The sequence below is a fragment of the Homo sapiens genome, chromosome 3, assembly GCF_000001405.40.
Source record: "Homo sapiens chromosome 3, GRCh38.p14 Primary Assembly".
In the NCBI taxonomy this organism is placed as follows: domain Eukaryota; kingdom Metazoa; phylum Chordata; class Mammalia; order Primates; family Hominidae; genus Homo; species Homo sapiens.
Window position 1 is genome coordinate 52,225,749 of NC_000003.12, and position 16,283 is coordinate 52,242,031.

The 16,283-nt window shown below is 57.8% G+C and overlaps 1 protein-coding gene and 1 long non-coding RNA gene across 2 annotated transcripts, besides 10 other annotated features; one reads left to right on the top strand and one right to left on the bottom strand.

Moving 5' to 3' along the window:
• Positions 29-530: an enhancer, noted in NCBI's record as "H3K4me1 hESC enhancer chr3:52259793-52260294 (GRCh37/hg19 assembly coordinates)". NCBI's record gives its function as "activates a minimal SCP1, AML or CMV promoter by ChIP-STARR-seq in naive H9 embryonic stem cells {active_cell/tissue: H9 hESC(naive)}" and the evidence as "EXISTENCE:reporter gene assay evidence [ECO:0000049][PMID:30033119]".
• Positions 287-376: an enhancer, noted in NCBI's record as "active region_19931". NCBI's record gives its function as "activates an Ori minimal core promoter by ATAC-STARR-seq in GM12878 lymphoblastoid cells {active_cell/tissue: GM12878}" and the evidence as "EXISTENCE:reporter gene assay evidence [ECO:0000049][PMID:35858748]".
• Positions 531-1,030: an enhancer, noted in NCBI's record as "H3K4me1 hESC enhancer chr3:52260295-52260794 (GRCh37/hg19 assembly coordinates)". NCBI's record gives its function as "activates a minimal SCP1, AML or CMV promoter by ChIP-STARR-seq in primed H9 embryonic stem cells {active_cell/tissue: H9 hESC(primed)}" and the evidence as "EXISTENCE:reporter gene assay evidence [ECO:0000049][PMID:30033119]".
• TWF2 (twinfilin actin binding protein 2) lies at positions 2,864-13,410 on the bottom strand. Its single transcript, NM_007284.4, has 9 exons — positions 13,244-13,410; positions 9,281-9,358; positions 6,196-6,374; positions 5,696-5,791; positions 5,379-5,483; positions 5,122-5,247; positions 4,172-4,322; positions 3,913-4,034; positions 2,864-3,453 (listed from the first exon to the last, which is right to left on the bottom strand). The coding sequence occupies exons 1-9, from the start codon at positions 13,266-13,268 to the stop codon at positions 3,286-3,288; spliced, it is 1,050 nt and encodes a 349-aa protein (NP_009215.1). The 5' UTR covers positions 13,269-13,410; the 3' UTR covers positions 2,864-3,285.
• Positions 5,947-6,156: a silencer, noted in NCBI's record as "silent region_14433". NCBI's record gives its function as "represses an Ori minimal core promoter by ATAC-STARR-seq in GM12878 lymphoblastoid cells {active_cell/tissue: GM12878}" and the evidence as "EXISTENCE:reporter gene assay evidence [ECO:0000049][PMID:35858748]".
• Positions 11,001-11,542: an enhancer, noted in NCBI's record as "H3K27ac-H3K4me1 hESC enhancer chr3:52270765-52271306 (GRCh37/hg19 assembly coordinates)". NCBI's record gives its function as "activates a minimal SCP1, AML or CMV promoter by ChIP-STARR-seq in naive H9 embryonic stem cells {active_cell/tissue: H9 hESC(naive)}" and the evidence as "EXISTENCE:reporter gene assay evidence [ECO:0000049][PMID:30033119]".
• Positions 11,543-12,085: an enhancer, noted in NCBI's record as "H3K27ac-H3K4me1 hESC enhancer chr3:52271307-52271849 (GRCh37/hg19 assembly coordinates)". NCBI's record gives its function as "activates a minimal SCP1, AML or CMV promoter by ChIP-STARR-seq in naive H9 embryonic stem cells {active_cell/tissue: H9 hESC(naive)}" and the evidence as "EXISTENCE:reporter gene assay evidence [ECO:0000049][PMID:30033119]".
• Positions 13,053-13,572: a silencer, noted in NCBI's record as "silent region_14434". NCBI's record gives its function as "represses an Ori minimal core promoter by ATAC-STARR-seq in GM12878 lymphoblastoid cells {active_cell/tissue: GM12878}" and the evidence as "EXISTENCE:reporter gene assay evidence [ECO:0000049][PMID:35858748]".
• TWF2-DT (TWF2 divergent transcript) lies at positions 13,490-15,349 on the top strand. Its single transcript, NR_135307.1, has 2 exons — positions 13,490-13,687; positions 14,427-15,349. It is a non-coding gene; the product is annotated as a TWF2 divergent transcript (long non-coding RNA).
• Positions 13,993-14,042: an enhancer, noted in NCBI's record as "active region_19932". NCBI's record gives its function as "activates an Ori minimal core promoter by ATAC-STARR-seq in GM12878 lymphoblastoid cells {active_cell/tissue: GM12878}" and the evidence as "EXISTENCE:reporter gene assay evidence [ECO:0000049][PMID:35858748]".
• Positions 14,696-14,885: an enhancer, noted in NCBI's record as "active region_19933". NCBI's record gives its function as "activates an Ori minimal core promoter by ATAC-STARR-seq in GM12878 lymphoblastoid cells {active_cell/tissue: GM12878}" and the evidence as "EXISTENCE:reporter gene assay evidence [ECO:0000049][PMID:35858748]".
• Positions 15,084-15,612: an enhancer, noted in NCBI's record as "NANOG hESC enhancer chr3:52274848-52275376 (GRCh37/hg19 assembly coordinates)". NCBI's record gives its function as "activates a minimal SCP1, AML or CMV promoter by ChIP-STARR-seq in naive H9 embryonic stem cells {active_cell/tissue: H9 hESC(naive)}" and the evidence as "EXISTENCE:reporter gene assay evidence [ECO:0000049][PMID:30033119]".

Below are 16,283 nucleotides of genomic sequence, written 5' to 3' on the forward strand. Positions count from 1 at the left end.
TCAAATGGCAGACAGCTCCTTCACCCCTTCCTCTTTCCACTCCCCTCTCAGACAGCCTACATCCCATGAGGGCCTCACACCTGTCCTCTACCAAGCCCAGGGAGGAGCTAAGGCCCAGAGCTCAGGCAGAGAGCAGGGAGAGATGGGAATTCTGGATAGCACCAGTAGCGGGTACACCTTGCTGGGCACTCCCCATTCTAAGAGGACACTTCCACCCTCAGGTCTTGGCTCCTGCACCACAGCTGGTGCCCTCAGGACAGCGGCTGCCGACTTGTCCTTTTCTGCCCTTGTAGGCACCATCTCCAGAGTTCTGCAGGGCCTCATGCGTGGAGGGCCAGGGTGTAGCTTGAGCAGGAGGCTAGGCTGCACCTGCCTTCACCACAGCCTTGCAACATCTTCCGGAAACAAGACCTCCTCCTCCACATTCCCAGAGCCCCTGGGGCCCCATCAGAGCACACACCACGTCACTCCAGATGGGGCTCCTAGAGGCCAGGTGTGTGCTGGCCCAGCAGGGCCGCCAGCCAGTCCTCCCCATCAGTTCTTCCCACTCTCCTTCTGATCTAGGTGAGGAGACTCAGATTCCTCGGGCCCAAAGCCTTGGGTGACCCCGGGCCCCTCAGCAAGTTCTGCTGGGTCCACCATGCTGAAGGGTGTGCCCACAGCCCACCGTCCCCATGTCCACCAGCCCCCATCCTCTCTCCTAGACCCATGCAGGTGCCACCTCCCTTCTGGCTGTCCTGCCCTGCTCTCTGCCCTCCAGGGGCTGGTCACATTCAGCCCCTAGAGGGAACTGTTCAAACCTAAGTCACACTAGGTCCCTCCTCTGCTCAGACCCCTCCCTGGCTGACTCTGGAGTCAAAGCCACAGTCCACAGATGGCCAACAAGGCCCTATGGGACCTGCCACCCGCTGTTCCCCTGAGTGCTCTCCAGGCCCACTGGCCTGCTTGCAGTTGACTGTGTAGCCCCTGGGCATTCTCCTGCCTCAGGGCCTTGGGATGTGCTGTTCCCTCTGCCTGAAAACTCCCCCAAGTCTCATATGACCCCTCCTTTGCCTCCATTATGTCTCTGCTCCCATGTCACCCTCTCAACAGGGCCATCCAGCCTTCTTACAAACCTCCCACCCCAGATCTGGCACTCCTGAGCTCCTTTGCCTGGTCTATGTTTCTCTTTGTCCTAACATTTTTTAACTGCTAGCACACCGGATCATTGATCTTTCATGGTTTATTGTATATCGTCTTATTCCCCTGCTGGAATGTCAGCTTCTTAAGGGCAGTGATCTTTTATCTGCATCCCCAGGATCCAGTACAGTGCCCAGCACATAGTAAGTGCTTGATATCTGCTGAATTATGTACACCCAGCAGTCAGCTCTGGGCAGGCACAGAGAGGGTATTTCTGAGTGAAGGCTGAATGAATGAATTAATGAATTGTTGCTGCTGGGAGGAGGCAAGGCTGCACATCTGCCAGCCTGCTCCCCCCAGGCCCACTCTGGGTGGTATCATGGCAGGCAGGCTCCATAGTGCCAGGCATCTGGCTGGCTCAGCAGCAGGGGGCGATGGCATCGTCTTCCTGCCCACCTGGGAGCCAATGTTTCGGCTGGGCAAGGACAAGCCTCCTCTGGGTCTTAGCTAGTCTGGCTCTCCTCTCTACAATTCTAGGGGCTTGAGCAGGGGCTCAGAAAGGCGCCAGGGATAGAATGTTGCCCTGAGCCAGGAAGGAGAGCAGTGCCCACTCAGTAGCTGGGCTGCAGGCATCAACCCCATGCTTCCACTCCTGCCTGCCTGGGGTGGAAGGCACCTGCATTCATTCCCTCCATCCACCTCTCAGAGGGATACACCAAAGCTCGGGCTCCTGTGGAGCCCCAAGCCTGAGACTTTCCCAGAGTCCCTTGGACCAGGGACCCAGACCCCCATACCCAGCAGTGGCCCTGCCTTCTTTGGAGGCAGAAAACCAGAGAGGCCAGTAAGCTGACAGAGGGGTCTGCACACACAGGTACAGACCCACGCACATGGACACACTCAGCTTGGAGACACCGATATCGATGTCCACAGAAAAACTTGTCCTGGCCTCAGCCCAGGGAGGCTGGGAAGCCTTCGAGGAGGAGCCCTTATCCCATGTGGGAGGCTGCATAAAGTCCCTCTCAGAGATCCTTGTCCTAATTCCCCAAACCTGCAAACACGTGACCCCAACACCCCACAGTGTGGCAAAAACGACTTCGCAGATGTGATTAAGTTACCCATCTTGACAGGGGTAGGTGGTGGGGGCAGGGAGGGTGAATGCAATTACAATGTCCCTTATGAAATGGAGACAGAGGGAGATTCGACTACAAAAGGCCATGGGAGCCCAGAGGCTGAGGAAAGCAGAATCAGAGATGTCACCTCTGGCTTTGAAGGTGGAGGAAGGGGCCCCAAGCCAAGGAATACAGCCAGAAAAGGCCAGGAGATGGGTTCTTCTGAGGGGCCCAGACACAGCCAGCCCTGCCAACACCTCAACTTTGGCCCTGTGAGACCCATCTCAGTCTTCCAGCCTCCAGAACTGTAAGAGAATACATTTGAGTTTCTTCGAAGCCACTAAGTTGGTGGTAATTTGTTACGGCAGCCTCAGCAAATGACCATATGCAGATCCCTCATGTCACAGTGGAGGCGCGCCTGCCTCTCCAGCAGGGCTCCTGTTGACTGGGAGACCCGCGTGAGGCTGCACGCCCACTCACAGGCACAGCCTCTCCCACACACCTGGAGGTGGAGTGCTGGGGCTCCACCTCGCAGGCCGGCACTCCCCTCTCCCCTGTTGGGAAAGGACAGTTATATGCACAAGACTGCCCAATTCCCAGGGCCAGAGGCGGTCTCTCAGGGCCAAGCACAAGTCTTGATTTAAAAATATTTTATTCTTTAGAAAATACAGCATTCAACCATCCCAAACTGCAGTGACCCCTGCCCCAGCCCTGACTGACCCCACTTCTTGTGGCCAAAGGTTTCTGGGCTGTGCTGGGACCCTAGTCTCAGCTCCCCGGGAGGCCAGGTTCATGCCAGGCCCCTGACCCAGCCCCCTTAAGCCAGCCAGGCAGGGTCCCCGGACACCCTGGGCACACAGACGAGATGCAGGGACAGCAACAGGGAAGGGTCACAAAATGCCAGCCCGGTGGCCCTCGGACGCTGCAAGTGCGTTCAGCTGCCAGCCCTCCTGACCTCCCAGAAACACTTTCCTGGAGCCCAGGAAGGAGGATGGTGGCAGGGAGCGGAAGGTGGGCAGCCCCACAGTCCACACGTGGCCGGCCCTGCTCCAGCCTCCTAGCTGTCATCCCCATTTTCACCCGGGCCGCGGATGAGGCGCTTATGGCCCCGCTTGCCCCCTGGGCCCTTGGGCTTGGCGAAGGCCTGCTTGAAGGCGTGTTGCTTGGGGTGCACCTCGTCGTAGAGGAACTCTGCCGTCAGCTCTGCCCCATCGCCAATCTCAATCTGCATGGGGCAAGGCAGTGGTCACCCCAATGGGAGGGGCTCTGACACACACCACCCCTGGTAGCCCCCACTCCTGGGGCACCCCTTACTCTCACATCCTAGCCCTGGGGTCTCCTGAGGTCTCCCCTTGATTCCCCACCTGGAATGCCACTCCCAGGAAAGCAAGAGCTTAGGGCCTGCTGCCCTGCATGCCTTGGACTCTGCTCGCTGGGGTCACCTCCTCCCTGTCTCCAGGCCCAGGGAAAGGACATGACATGGTAGCCAGGACTTGGACTTTTCTGAGCCACCGATCAGCTGGGCAGCCTTGGGCCATGCGTGTTGCTCCTTGGGCCTCAGATGCCCTATGATCAACACGACAGCAACGATTCCTGCTCTGCCGTCATCTCAGGACCCCAGCGCCCCACATGGAGATTGGAGTGATAGGGCCTGGGGAGGTGAGGCCCTGGGGAGGGCGCCTACTTTCTTGGCGATCTCCAGATGGAAGTCCTGCTCCACGGAGTCGAGGAGGCGGCTCTTGCAGCTGGAGTAGAGCATTCGCTCCTTGATGCTGCACTTGTACCCCGGCATGGAGTAGATGAACACTGTTGGGGGGCAGGAGGTGAGCCTGGGAGGCCTGAGAAACCTGCTGACCTTCGCACCCAGAGCAGGCCTGCCCCACTGCAGACCAGCCCTGCTCCCACCCAGCCACAGGCTTGGGAGCCCTGCCATGGCCACTCACCTACAGACTCAAGGGGGTCGCCCTCATGGGTGTGCTTGTAGAGGAAGAAGTGGTAGCGGGCAGCATCTCGGGGCACCCGGGAGGGCAGCTGGGCCACATCCGTGGGCTCTGTGTGCACCAGCTCAATGGTTTCCCGCTCTAGGTCCAGCTTCTGCCCAGGGCCAAGGGAAGATGGGAGAGCACCAGGTCGGGGTGGGCCCAGGCCCCTCTCCCCAGGAAGCCCTCAAACAGGATTAGCTGGTGGGCAGGAGCCTGATGTGACCTCCCTCTCCCAAGACTCCCCTGCAATGGCCATCCCTCTATGGGGGTCCCTCTGAAGAGGCCAGTCCTGGGCCCAGCCCCAACTCTGCCCCTTTGAAGGTTGTGCTAGAGAAGGAACTCCCACCAAGGGTAGTCAACGGTAGTGACTCCTGGGACAGGATGGTGTGGAGGGTCACAACCTCAGGGAGATACTGCCACTGGGCCAGCCCATCCTCAGAGGCAAGGCCTCTGGCGGAAGCATCTTGGAAGGGAGGAGCCGTTTTGCTTGAAAGCGGCAGCCGGAACAGCCAGGGCAGAAGGACCCTGCCTAGGGAAACGGGGTGGTCAAGGAGACAACAGAGGGGATCTCTGACAGGAAGGGCCTCGGGGCTGAGGGGTCAGTGTGACCCCAGGGGTATGGGTGGAGGGCGGAATGGGGCAGTGTGCTCACAGGTGTACCTGTGTATGAGCAGGGCCTGGGGACAAGGGACCAGAACACATCTATGTGCACACAGTGTCTGCGCCCCAGGCGGAATAGGTAGGGATCAGGGAGGGGTGGGGTGGACCATGTGTTCCCACAAGCACATGGACGAGCTGAAGGGGACAGACTGCAGGCTGGTGGAGTGGGGACTCCATGTACATCTGCACATGTGCATGGGCAGGAGTAGGGGTGGTGGCAGCATGTGCCAGGGTAGGGAGCAGGCACCCACCATCTGGATGTAGTTGACCATTTTCTGCTTGAGCTGCTGGAGTGCCCGCTGGGCCTCAGGCTGCAGGGGGAAGGCGAGGCCCTGCAGGGTCTGGTGCTTGCTTTCCACACTGATCTCTGTCTTCACCTGTGGGTAGGGGAATGGTGAGGGAGGCCCTCACCGGCCCAAAGCAGGGTGTGGCTCCCAGGCAGCACAGGCTGCCACTGGGCCGATATGACCCTGAGGGCTCAAGGCTGGGGCCTCTGCTCCCCACCCACCTCGTTAATGCGGATCTGCTGGAGCTCTCTCTCAGCCGAGGTCAGCGGGGCAGGTGCCGCACAGGACGACAGGTGTTTCTGGTACCCAGCAAAAGAGAGGTCATCCTGCAGGGGTGGGGGTGAATGCAGAGCCATAAATGGGCACCTGGGGATTGGCTAGAGGAGGCCCACGGAGCACGCCAGCTTGCAGCCCTTGGACTCCCCCAGCGCCCCCATCTTCCTCCCGAAGCTGGCACTAGCTTGCTCTCTGACCCTGCACAGTGACCCCTCTCTGTGGGCCCAGGATTGTGTCCCGGTAAGTCCTGGCTTAGGATTACCTTCACAGTCCCGAAGAGCTCATCCTTGATGTGGCCACCTCCAAACTCCTTTTTCACTGTGGCCCGCGTGGCCGCGTACAGCATCTTCAGCCGCACCTGAAGGGCAAGGGCCAAACCGTAAGAGGCCTCTGGGCAGGGCTGCCTCTCCCGGAACAGACAGGTGCCTCTGGAGGAACTCGGTGGGCTCACTGCGCTGGCACACCTGGCAGAGGGCCAGCCCGGGGCCAGGACGCAGCAGGTGGCCCCCACCAGCAGGGGGAGCCCTCGTCCAGCCTGATCACAGCCTCCGGAGCCAGGCTGATGCCTGGAGAGCAAGAGGTACCCAGGCTGCGGGCACAGGGACTTGACCCTCTCTCAGACTCCCTAGGGCACGGCCTGACAGCTCTTCCCCCACCCTCCAGGGGCAGGCCTGTGTCCCCTCTTGGATCCCCCAGGGCAAGGCCTTGTTGCCTGGCTCAGCCCCAGCTCCCCTCCTCACTTCCCACTGGCCCAGGACTCACGGGGGAGTTATCAGGCGACCAGGCGAGGAAGAGCCATTCGAAGCCCTGAGCATTCTGTGAGTCGAGGCGGTAGAGCAGGTAGCAGGGCTGCTGGGCGTCCAGCAGTGGCAGCACGGCCCTGTCATAGTCCTGATCCCAGCGGCCTACTGGCTCCTGCGAGGCACCCAGCACGAGCTGCTCTGGGGGCAGAGGCCGGATGAGCAGCCGCTCCCAGCTCCCACTGCGCCTCCCGCTGCAGACCTCCAGCCTCGCCGTGGCTGCCCAGCTGGCTCAGAGCCGCCGGCTGCCCCTCACCTTCCCTGGAGCCCCCAGGTCCCAGAAGTGTGAGGCTGTGTGGCTGAATGAGTGAGCAAGGGAAGGCACAAAGCTGCCACCTGGGGGCTGCCCCCCTGCACATCCCCAGCGCGTGCACACACCCCCCCACACACACACACGTGCGCAGATCACCAACACAAACAGCCACACAAAGACACGCAGCCGTCAGCCCCTCACGGACACCACACCCCTGGGTGCTCCCTTGGACCCCATCCCCACCGCACAGCTGCTCAGCCCACAGTCCCCACGAAACTGCCTCCTGCTCGCCTCCTCCCCTGGGGCTCCAGCAGAAGAACCGCAGCAGACTCCCCTCAGGACAAATGTGCTGAGGGGCAGGTCACAGCCCCAGGCCACAGGGACCTACAGGGGTAAAAGCCTCTGGAAAGGAGGAGCAGGGGCTCCTACCAGACCCTGGATAAACAGACATCCTGCGGCTACCTGCCAGCTGCAGTCCCCTCGAAAATGTCACAGATCCTTGCCGGGCGCGGTGGCTCACGCCTATAATCCCAGCACTTTGGGAGGCAGAGGCAGGCGGATCGCCTGAGGTTGGGAGTTCGAGACCACCCTGACCAACATGGAGAAACCCCGTCTCTACTAAAAATACAAAATTAGCTGGGTGTAGTGGCCTGTAATCCCAGCTGCTCGGGAGGCTGAGGTGGGAGAATCGCTTGAACCCAGGAGGCGGAGGTTGTGGTGAGCAGGAGATGGCGCCATTGCACTCCAGCCTGGGCAACAAGAGCGAAACTCCGTCTCAAAAAAAGAAAGAAAATGTCGCAGATCCAAAGCAGCCACCATCTAAGTGCCTAGGCCCCACAGGCCTGCTAGCTCCTTGGCTGAAATGGGGCATCCAGCTGCACTTGTAGACTGGGACCTCATCTGGGCACCAGACACCAGCCTGGGTATACACAGGTCTAGCCTGGAGCAATAACTGGGGCAAAGGGGCAGTCAGCCTGGCTGGGGGTCCTGGTGTCAGTCCACCAGACTCTCCTGATCTGGGCAGGGGCCCCGATGCCTGGACGCCCCAACAGACCAGGCCCTCTGAGGCCTCGGCCTCCTCACCTGCCCACCCAGAACTCAGACAGGATCACAGTCACAGTGACTTTGAGTAGTCACGGCCTGTGTTGGCCCCTACAGCACTGTCAACATTGCTTAATTTGTTGCTAACATTTTCAAACTGGGAAATTTTACATAAGAAGTAGAATTCTCAGCCTCTCTAGAAAAATCAGGCCCTCTGGCCACACTGGAGCCATCCTCAATTGGAGATGGACAGTGGCTGCCCATCGGGGGCCTGGACCCTCCTGGGCAGTCCCAGGTACCCCAACAACTGTCATGCAGAACTGAGATAAAAGTCAATCCAGAGATTCCTCCTGCTTAAAATCTTCAGGGACGGCTGGGCACGGTGGCTTATGCCCGTAATCCCAGCACTTTGGGAGGCCGAGGTGGGCGGATCACGAAGTCAGGAGATTGAGACCATGGTGAAACCCCGTCTCTACTAAAAATACAAAATTAGCCGGGCGCAGTGGTGGTCGCCTGTAGTCCCAGCTACTCGGGAGGCTGAGGCAGGAGAATGGCGTGAACCCGGGAGGCGGAGCTTGCAGTAAGCTGAGATCACACCACTACACTCCAGCCTGGGTGACAGAGCGAAACTCCGTCTCAAAAAAAAAAAAAAAAAAAAAAATCTGCAGGGACATCTTGTCTGGGAGGCAACAGGGAGGGCCGAGGACTGGGGTCAATGAGTACAACTGCCTTTTTAAGGGTGGGGTGGCTGTGGCCTGCCACTCCAGGAAGCCATCACTAATATTCTGCCACAGTGACCCCTGCCCAGTCTCTGAGGGCATCAGAATTTGGACTCCCTGGGCAAAGCACTGCCAAGGCCCTAAAACCTGGAATGGCAGATCCTGCTTTGAGCCAACACAACGCGTGGAAAGCCAGCTGAGCACCAGGCCCATTCAGGCAGCCATCCAAAGTGCCTGCTGCTGAATGGCTAATGAGAAGAGCTGGGAGGACCTCTGGGGAGCCTGGCCCACCCCAGTCCCAAAGTCTGTACCCCTCACCCAAAGGGACAGTCCATTGGCATGGAGGAAAGGTGAAAAAATGTTCTCTGGCCTCTGACCTCCCAATCCTCCTCAGTTTAATCCTCTGCCTCCCCAAACCCTCCCCACTTCAGGCCTCAGCTCAAGTCCCAGTGTCCCCAGCACTGCCCTCTATACAGCTCCCAGGTCCTCAGGGGCAAGGCCAAAGCCCAGCCAAGCCTAGAACCCTCCCATCCTACTCTCAGATGAGCCAGACACTCATCCCTTCTCCCCATCATGGGGGCACTTCCAAGAGAAGGGTGCAGGATCTCCTTAGGTCTCCCCTCGGACAGCAGCTGAGCCAGGCCAGGCCACCAACAAATGAGGCGGGTGGCACCAGCCACAAGGGGCAGTGCTGGATTCACTTATCCCCTGCCCCTCTGCCCAGCCCAGCTCGGCATCCTGGCCAGGCCCATCTGAATATCCATGCAGCCTCTGGGAGGTGGCAGGACCCCAGGACAGGGCTCTATTTGCTGACCCCAGCTTCGGCTTCCTGCTCTGCATAACAGAGGTGACAATTGCGCCCACCTCTGATGCTGCCCTGTGAGGCTCTCCTTTGTCAGGATGGCCTCACACCCATTTCCAGAGTGGGAAATTGAGGTCCCGGCAGGCCAGGGGCCAACATCCTCCTTCCCCCACCCACAGAGGCAGCAGAGTCCACCCCCAAGCCTATACCCTGGCCTGTGAGGGGCACTCACCGTCCTCAATCACAACCTTGATGAGCCGCACAGAGCCAGCCCGTGCCTTGGCAAAGAATTCCTTCAGCTCTTCCGTGGCTATAAGAACAAGAAACATGGTGGGGGATGAGTGGGCAGAGTGGACAGAGACGAGTATGGGGCCTGCTCTGTCCCACAGGGTCTGGTGGCTGAGCTGGGAACCAGGTTAAATACAGCCCCCCATGTGACTGGGAACCTGAGACAGCCACTGAACACAAGCTCCCAAATTTAGCCAGCAGAGGTGGCAGGCGAGTGGCCTGCTGGCTGGGATAGGTCTGGTGATGGGGCGGGGTGGGCAGGGATGGGACAACCCACCAGAAGATGGGCAGGCTCTGGCATAAGCCAGGCCAGCCACAGTGAATAGCCTCCATCTGCCCCCTGCCCCGCAGGATGGCCGAGCTCTGGGCTGGCCTGGACACACTCAGCACAGTCATATACACAGAAAAAAGAACACAGACAAATGCCCCCACTGTGCAATGACCACTATGCCCATTCACACACACACACACACACACACAGCTCAATCCAGCATGTGTGAATGTAACACACAACACGCATGTGTGACAGAGGAGCAGAAATTCAAACACCCTCATACATGAACACATGCTCAGTTGCTCAAACACAAATGGACACGCATGTTTAGATACACAAACACACACAGAGATATAGTCCCCGGCTTGCTAACACGCACACAGGCAGGCAAGTGCAGAGCTTGGCTGAGACGTGTGTGCAGGCAACAGGATGTATCAAAGTGTACACAGAAGCACATGGACACGCATGACACCCATGTGTGCAGCCCCAGTCCCAGCCCTCCAGCCAGGCTGTCTAACCCTGAGACCCCGAGGAGCCACAGCCAGCCCAGATACAGCCCTGTGGGGGGTGGGGGGACAACATGACCTTAACCCTCAGGCAGTTGGGGCAGCTTCCAGGAGAAGGAATGGCTCCCCGAAACTCACTAAGAGACTCCATCTTGGTCAGGTGCGGTGGCTCTCACCTGTAATCCCAGCAATTTGGGAGGCCAAGGCGGGCAGATCACCTGAGGTCAGGAGTTCAAGACCAGCCTGGCCAACATGGCAAAACCCCATCTCTACTAAAAATACAAAAATTAGCCAGGCATGGTAGCACGCACCTGTAATCCCAGCTACTCGGGAGGCTGAGGCAGGAAAATCGCTTGAACCCGGGAGGCGGAGGTTACAGTGAGCTGAGATCACACCATTGCACTCCAGCCTGGGCAACAAGAGTGAAACTCCGCCTCAGAAAAAAAAAAAAAAAAGAGACTCCATCTTGGTCATTGGGCTGTAGAGCTGGAAGGTGAGAGCCAGTGAGTGACCAAGGACCCCAGGGCAGAGGTGAGGACCATGGTGAGAGCTGGGGAGCCATAAGTGGTGGATCTACTAGTGGACAGGGAAACCACCACGGCCCATGTGGGGAAGGGCCCTGCTTGGGTCCCTGGGTGAGCAGGGCTAGGCCAGTGTGACCTTGAGGCTGCCCAAGGGTCAGGGGAATTCCGTCAGGAACACAGCTGGAGGCCTGAGGTCAGAGAATATTTATAGGGCCAGGACTGGGCAACTCAGGGGCGGGGGGGCCTTTAGGAAAACAAACTCTGGTTATGTCCTCAGGTGCCCCCCCTTTGCAGAGTGACCGTTAATCTGAGACCTCAGGCTATGCACCACCCTCCAAGGCCACTGGGTGGGCTGGGGCCCAACTGAGCTCAGCAGACCCTTAGGGCTCAGAGAAACATGGCATGGAACTGTAGGCAGGTGGACACCATCCCACTGGGCCAGGACAGAACTTTCCATCGGCAGATCCCAAGCAGGTCCCTGAGGCCCCAAGCCTGGCCTCTGGGGCTCCACTTCTCCCTCAGCTGTGTGACTCCTGACCTCTCTGAACTTCAGTGTATAAAATGGAAATAATAGCCCCAAACTTGGCAGGGCTGTGGTGAGGGGTAAATGGGAGAAAGGGCTTGGCGATGGTGGCCTCTATTAATAACAATTAATCTTTTATTATGATAATAACAGCAAGCTGACTGTGCTGAGCTGCCCCTTCTACCTGCCCAGACCTTCCCAGAAGGAAGGCCAAGAAGCTCCCCTAAGGGACAGGCCGACGGGCCCCTTCTAGTGTTACCAGGGCAAACTGACACCCCCACAGGGAAAGGCACATCCCTGCCCACCCCAGCCCCAATGCCTGCCCAGCCACCATCAATAATCCAGAGGCCAGGCCTGGGACACCTGAGCCTCTATTATCAATGATTCATGAACACCCTCCCTCCGACTCAAGTGAGCCTCACATTACAGGTCCCTTTCCTGCCTACTCTGCGGTCAGCAGATCCACACCTATGGTCAGGACAGGGCTGGCACCTGGTCCTCCAGGGTGATCTCTGCTGCCAACTTCCCAGGCCAGAAATGGGAAGAAGTGGGCTGCTCACAGGTGGAAGGAGGGCTAGGGGCAGCCCAGTCCCCAGTGACCCCCTCGGTGGGCCTGTCTCACTATGGGAAAGGAGGGAGTGAGGCAGCAGGGAAGGGGTATGGGGTGGCTAACTTCCTGGGATCTCCTCCACCAGGGCTGGAGGCTGGGAGGCAGCAGCTATGACCAGACAAAGGGGAAGGAAGAAGCTGGCCAGGAGGCAGTTCCCTCCTGTGGGGCTGAGTCATGAAGCCTGCCCGCCAGCTCCTCCTGGAGAAAGGCTGGCCCATCTGGGAGCCCTGGCCCTGACCCAGGCCCCTGCCTTCGCGGGGCCAGGGAAACCTTCTCAGGGCAGCCCAGCCACCAAGTGGCCACAACCGCACCAGGATTCAGGTGGTCAGGCAGGTCGATGGTGGCAGCCCCAGGCAGGGGATCCTAGTGTGGTGGGAGGGGTGGCTGATGGCCAAACCCGCCAGGCTGTCTGGGCAAACAGCCCGGGCCTTCCCCACAGGCCAGGCAGCTCTCTCAGGCCAGTGACAGAGGAGGACACTGAGCCCCAGGTAGAGTCAGGGCACCTGGCTCCCAGCCATTGCTTCTCTCACAGCCTGTCCAAGAAGGAAACTGGGACCCCTAGGGGAGGGGAGGGTGTGATGCGGGAATGGTGAAGCTTCCTAGGGCTGGGGGCTGGGGGTGGGAGCTGGCCTGGATTCTTTAGGGCCAGGACTCTCCCCACAAAACCCCATATCTGGACCTCTTCTCTGTCTGCAGCCTGGAGCTGGGATCTTCCAACCAGACTGAGGCAGACTCAGAAAGTCACAGTGGAAAATGGGAGGGAGGTCAGAGGTCAAGGTCAGATAGGCAGCTTTCTCCATCCCACGTAGAAGTCTCTGTTCCGGGTTTTCCCTAGCCTGGGGAGAGTGAGTGTCCTGGGAGGAGCAAAGGTCAGGGCCTTCTCCTAACACACATAAACAAGCCCATTCAAGTCAGACACATGCGGTATATGCATCCTTGGCAAAAATGCACACTGAGACGCGCTCCAACTGTGCACACACACAGACACCCACATACATGTGCACACTGCCATGAAACACTGATGTCTAAAGAGGGTCCTATGCGACCTACAGTGTCCATTCAAACAGTCACTAGTGCCAGTGCATGAATGACCCTAGATGTACACAAGCGAGTCACATCCAGAGGTGCACAGGCAGGACTGTACACGGAAGACGTGTGCACATGCGTGTACACCCACTCCCGGAAAGGAACAAAAATATACAGATGGGCACACACAGCCACATTCATCTCCAGGTAGGCACACAGATACTTCCACCCCAGTTGTGTACGTACACATACACCCACTCCCAGCTATGCACACCACGTCCGTACTCCCCCAGATGTGCCCACCCCAGGCGACCCGCGGCTGCAAAAGAGAACAGGAAGCTTTCTCCCGGCTGGTGTGGGGTGGAGGGAGGGGCCGAGAGCCGGGGGGGGGCGCTTCCGAGAGCCCAGACCGAGGCCCCCTGCCCGCCCGCCATCCGCCCTCACCGTGGATGCCCGTTTGGTGCGCCATGGCTCGGCGCTTCGCTCCGTCCGCGCCGTCGGAGCCCTCCGCTTGACCCTGGCCCGGCAACGCTCGCTGGACCAAGAGAGGTGGAGGATGTGGCGGAGGCTGTCGACCCTCGCGCAGCTTCCCGGGCGGTGCCGCAGGACCCGCCCCCAGCGGCGCCCCGCCCCCGACAGGCGCGGCAGGGAGGCGGGGACTCGGGGCCGCGCGTGCGCGCAGCCTGCGCCTCGGTCCGGGTGGGTCTAAGGATGATGATTGATCCGCCGTGCGCACGCCAGCGCGTTCCTCTGTGGCAGGAGAGGGGGGCCTGCGTGTGACCGAGCGTGCGTGGGAGGACGCGCGTGTGTGTCTGTGCGCCCTGATCACGGTGGTCTGTGGGTGGGGCGGATCGTGCGCGCGCGCCCGATCTGTGCGCCCCAAGCCAGGTGGGTCTCCGAATAGGAGTGGGTCCCAGCGTACACGGGTTTGCACCCAGGAAGGGGTCTGCTTGTGGGTGGGCGCGCCAGCTCTTCCCCAGGGGCCGTTTCTTGAGCGCCTCCCGTGGGGTCCTGGGCACCTCGGGGTGATCATGGCCGCTAGGCTTTGCCCTCACGGGCCTAGGCCCGCCTTCACCCACTAGATGGAGTGTATGGTGGTGAGAGCCCGCCGAGACAATGTGAGGGGCTGCCAGGAGAAGGCGAAGATTGGAAACCTAGAGGGGAGAATGAAACAGCCCAGCAGAGTGGAGGGAAAAGTTTTCTTTCTTTTTCTTTTTCTTTTTTTTTTTTTTTGAGATGGAGTTTCCCTCTTGTTGCCCAGGCTGAAGTGCACTGGCGCGATCTCGGCTCACTGCAACCTCCGCCTCCCGGGTTCACTCCTGCCTCAGCCTCCCGAGTGGTTAGGATTACAGGCATGCACCACCATGCCTGGCTAATTTTGTATTTTTAGTAGAGACGGGGTTTCTCTATGTTGGTCAGTCTGATCTCGAACTCCCGACCTCAGGTGATCTGCCCGCCTCGGACTCCCAAAGCGTTGGAATTACAGGCGTGAGCCACTTACTAGTCCCAGCCAGAAAGGTTTTCTGAGAAGAGGGCACTGCATGTGCAAAGGCCCAGAGGTTGAAAGAGGGCCAGAGCCTGGTGAGGAACTTCCCATGTCCTAATGACCTTCTGTGTCTATATCCAGCAGCCTTGCCTTACTGGTACCAGTACCTGCCTGCTGCTACCAACTAGTCAACATGTGGCATCTTCCAGGCCACTGTGATGAGTCAGGGATGAGCATCTGACTCTGGTTGGTCCAATCAGCTTGTCCAGGGACTTTGGCTGGGAAGATTGGAAAGGAGGCCAGCTTTTTGGGCTGGGGTTGCTGAGAGATGTGATGATGAAATGTGTGGCCTACCTGGCATCTGGCCCCAGCTTCAGCTCCATTTACTGTCTTGCTCCCCACCCTCACTAGCCTGCATTGAGGCCTCCTCTGTGCCCCCCAACCCCTGAGTTTCTCATCCCCAGAGAGCCCAGCTACACAGAATTGAAGGGTTTTCTCATTCATCTTCCTGCGCTCACCCTGAAGACTGGGCCTATGTCATCTGCTAACCACTGTCCCCCCAGCACTCACAGTGGAAAATGGAGTGTTATGCAGCCCTGCAGCTTGCCTTCTAGAACAGTTCACAGGCAAGGCCTCCCACACTGAACCCTGCTACAGCCAGATGGTGCCAGCAACACAGAGCTACTTGTTACATCAGCTCAGACTAAGCCACACCCACAGGAGCATCTGGTGATTCCACAGAACCACAAGAGACTTGACCTCCTGGAAATGAATTAACCAAGATTAATGAAAAAGATTAAGGTCATGTGCCCTGTAAAAATGTCCCTCACTGGATGAACTGTGACAAAGTAGGGTACTGCGTGGTCTCCCCAGCTGACCCTCTCCATGGGTCATTCTTTGCTTTTATCACTACCTGGCACAAATCTTTACGTATTTGTTTATCGTCTTCCCTCCACCAGTAGTTAGGTGTTTGCCCTTGCTGTATCCCCTGTGCCTAGAACAGTGCCCAACATTGGCAGGTGGCCAATAATTGCAAAATAAGCAAATGTATGAATGAACCATTAGATGCTTTGTGTTGTATACTTACTACCTGCTGGGCACATTTATTTAATCCTCATGACAGCCCCTGAAGTAGGTGTTACTTTTTCCATCTTACAGATAAAGACTCTGAGGTTTGGAGAGGTGAAGTGATTTGATCAATGTCACATGGTAGTGAGTGAGGCCAAGAATCATAGTTTCATTTTATTCGAGAAGTTGGGGGCCAGGTACAGTGGCTCATGCCTGTAATCCTAACACTTTGGGAGGCCAGGGTGGGAAGATCTCTTGAGCCTAGGAGTTTGAGACCAGCCTGGACAACAACATGGTGAGACTCCATCTCTACAAAAAAAAAAAAAAAATTATTTTAAAATTAGCCAGGCATGGTGATGTACACCTGTAGTTCCAGCTACTTGGCTGAGACAGGAGGACTGCTTGAGGCCAGGAATTCAAGACCAGCCTGGTAAAGATGGCAAGACCCCATCTCTACATATATATATCTATAGATAGATAGATAGATTAATAGATAGATATGTATTAGCCAGGCACAGTCACACATGTTTGTAGTCCCAGCTACTTGGGAGGCTAAGGCAGGAGGATCACCTGAGCCCAGGAGTTAAGGGCTGCAGTGAGCCGTGATCACACCACTGCATTCCAGTTTGGGTGACAGAGTGAGGCTCTCTTAAAAAATTTAAAAATACTGAAGAAACAAAGGGAGGAGTTTGTAGAATCTGGAGTGGAGGAAACTTCTGTGTCACCAAACACAGAAACCATCAAAGAAAATCTTTCACTTCCAAAATTAGTCTATAGAAAAAAAAAAAGAAAATCTTAACCCAAATAAGAGACTGAGGCAAGAGCTTCAATCAATCGAGGTTTACTGAGCCAGAGTTGGAGCGTGCCCAGGAAAGCAACACAAGTCAAAGAAACGTCTGTGGCCTGTGCTCTCCCAAGAAGTTTTCAGGA

Excerpts from the sequence above, each read along its gene's own strand:
- TWF2 (NM_007284.4), bottom strand. The coding sequence starts at position 13,268 with ATGGCGCACCAAACGGGCATCCACG. Across the intron at positions 6,375-9,280 it reads CAAGGTTGTGATTGAGGACG|AGCAGCTCGTGCTGGGTGCC; the intron begins GTGAGTGCCCCT and ends CTCTGCCCCCAG. Across the intron at positions 5,484-5,695 it reads AGCTCTTCGGGACTGTGAAG|GATGACCTCTCTTTTGCTGG; the intron begins GTAATCCTAAGC and ends CCACCCCTGCAG.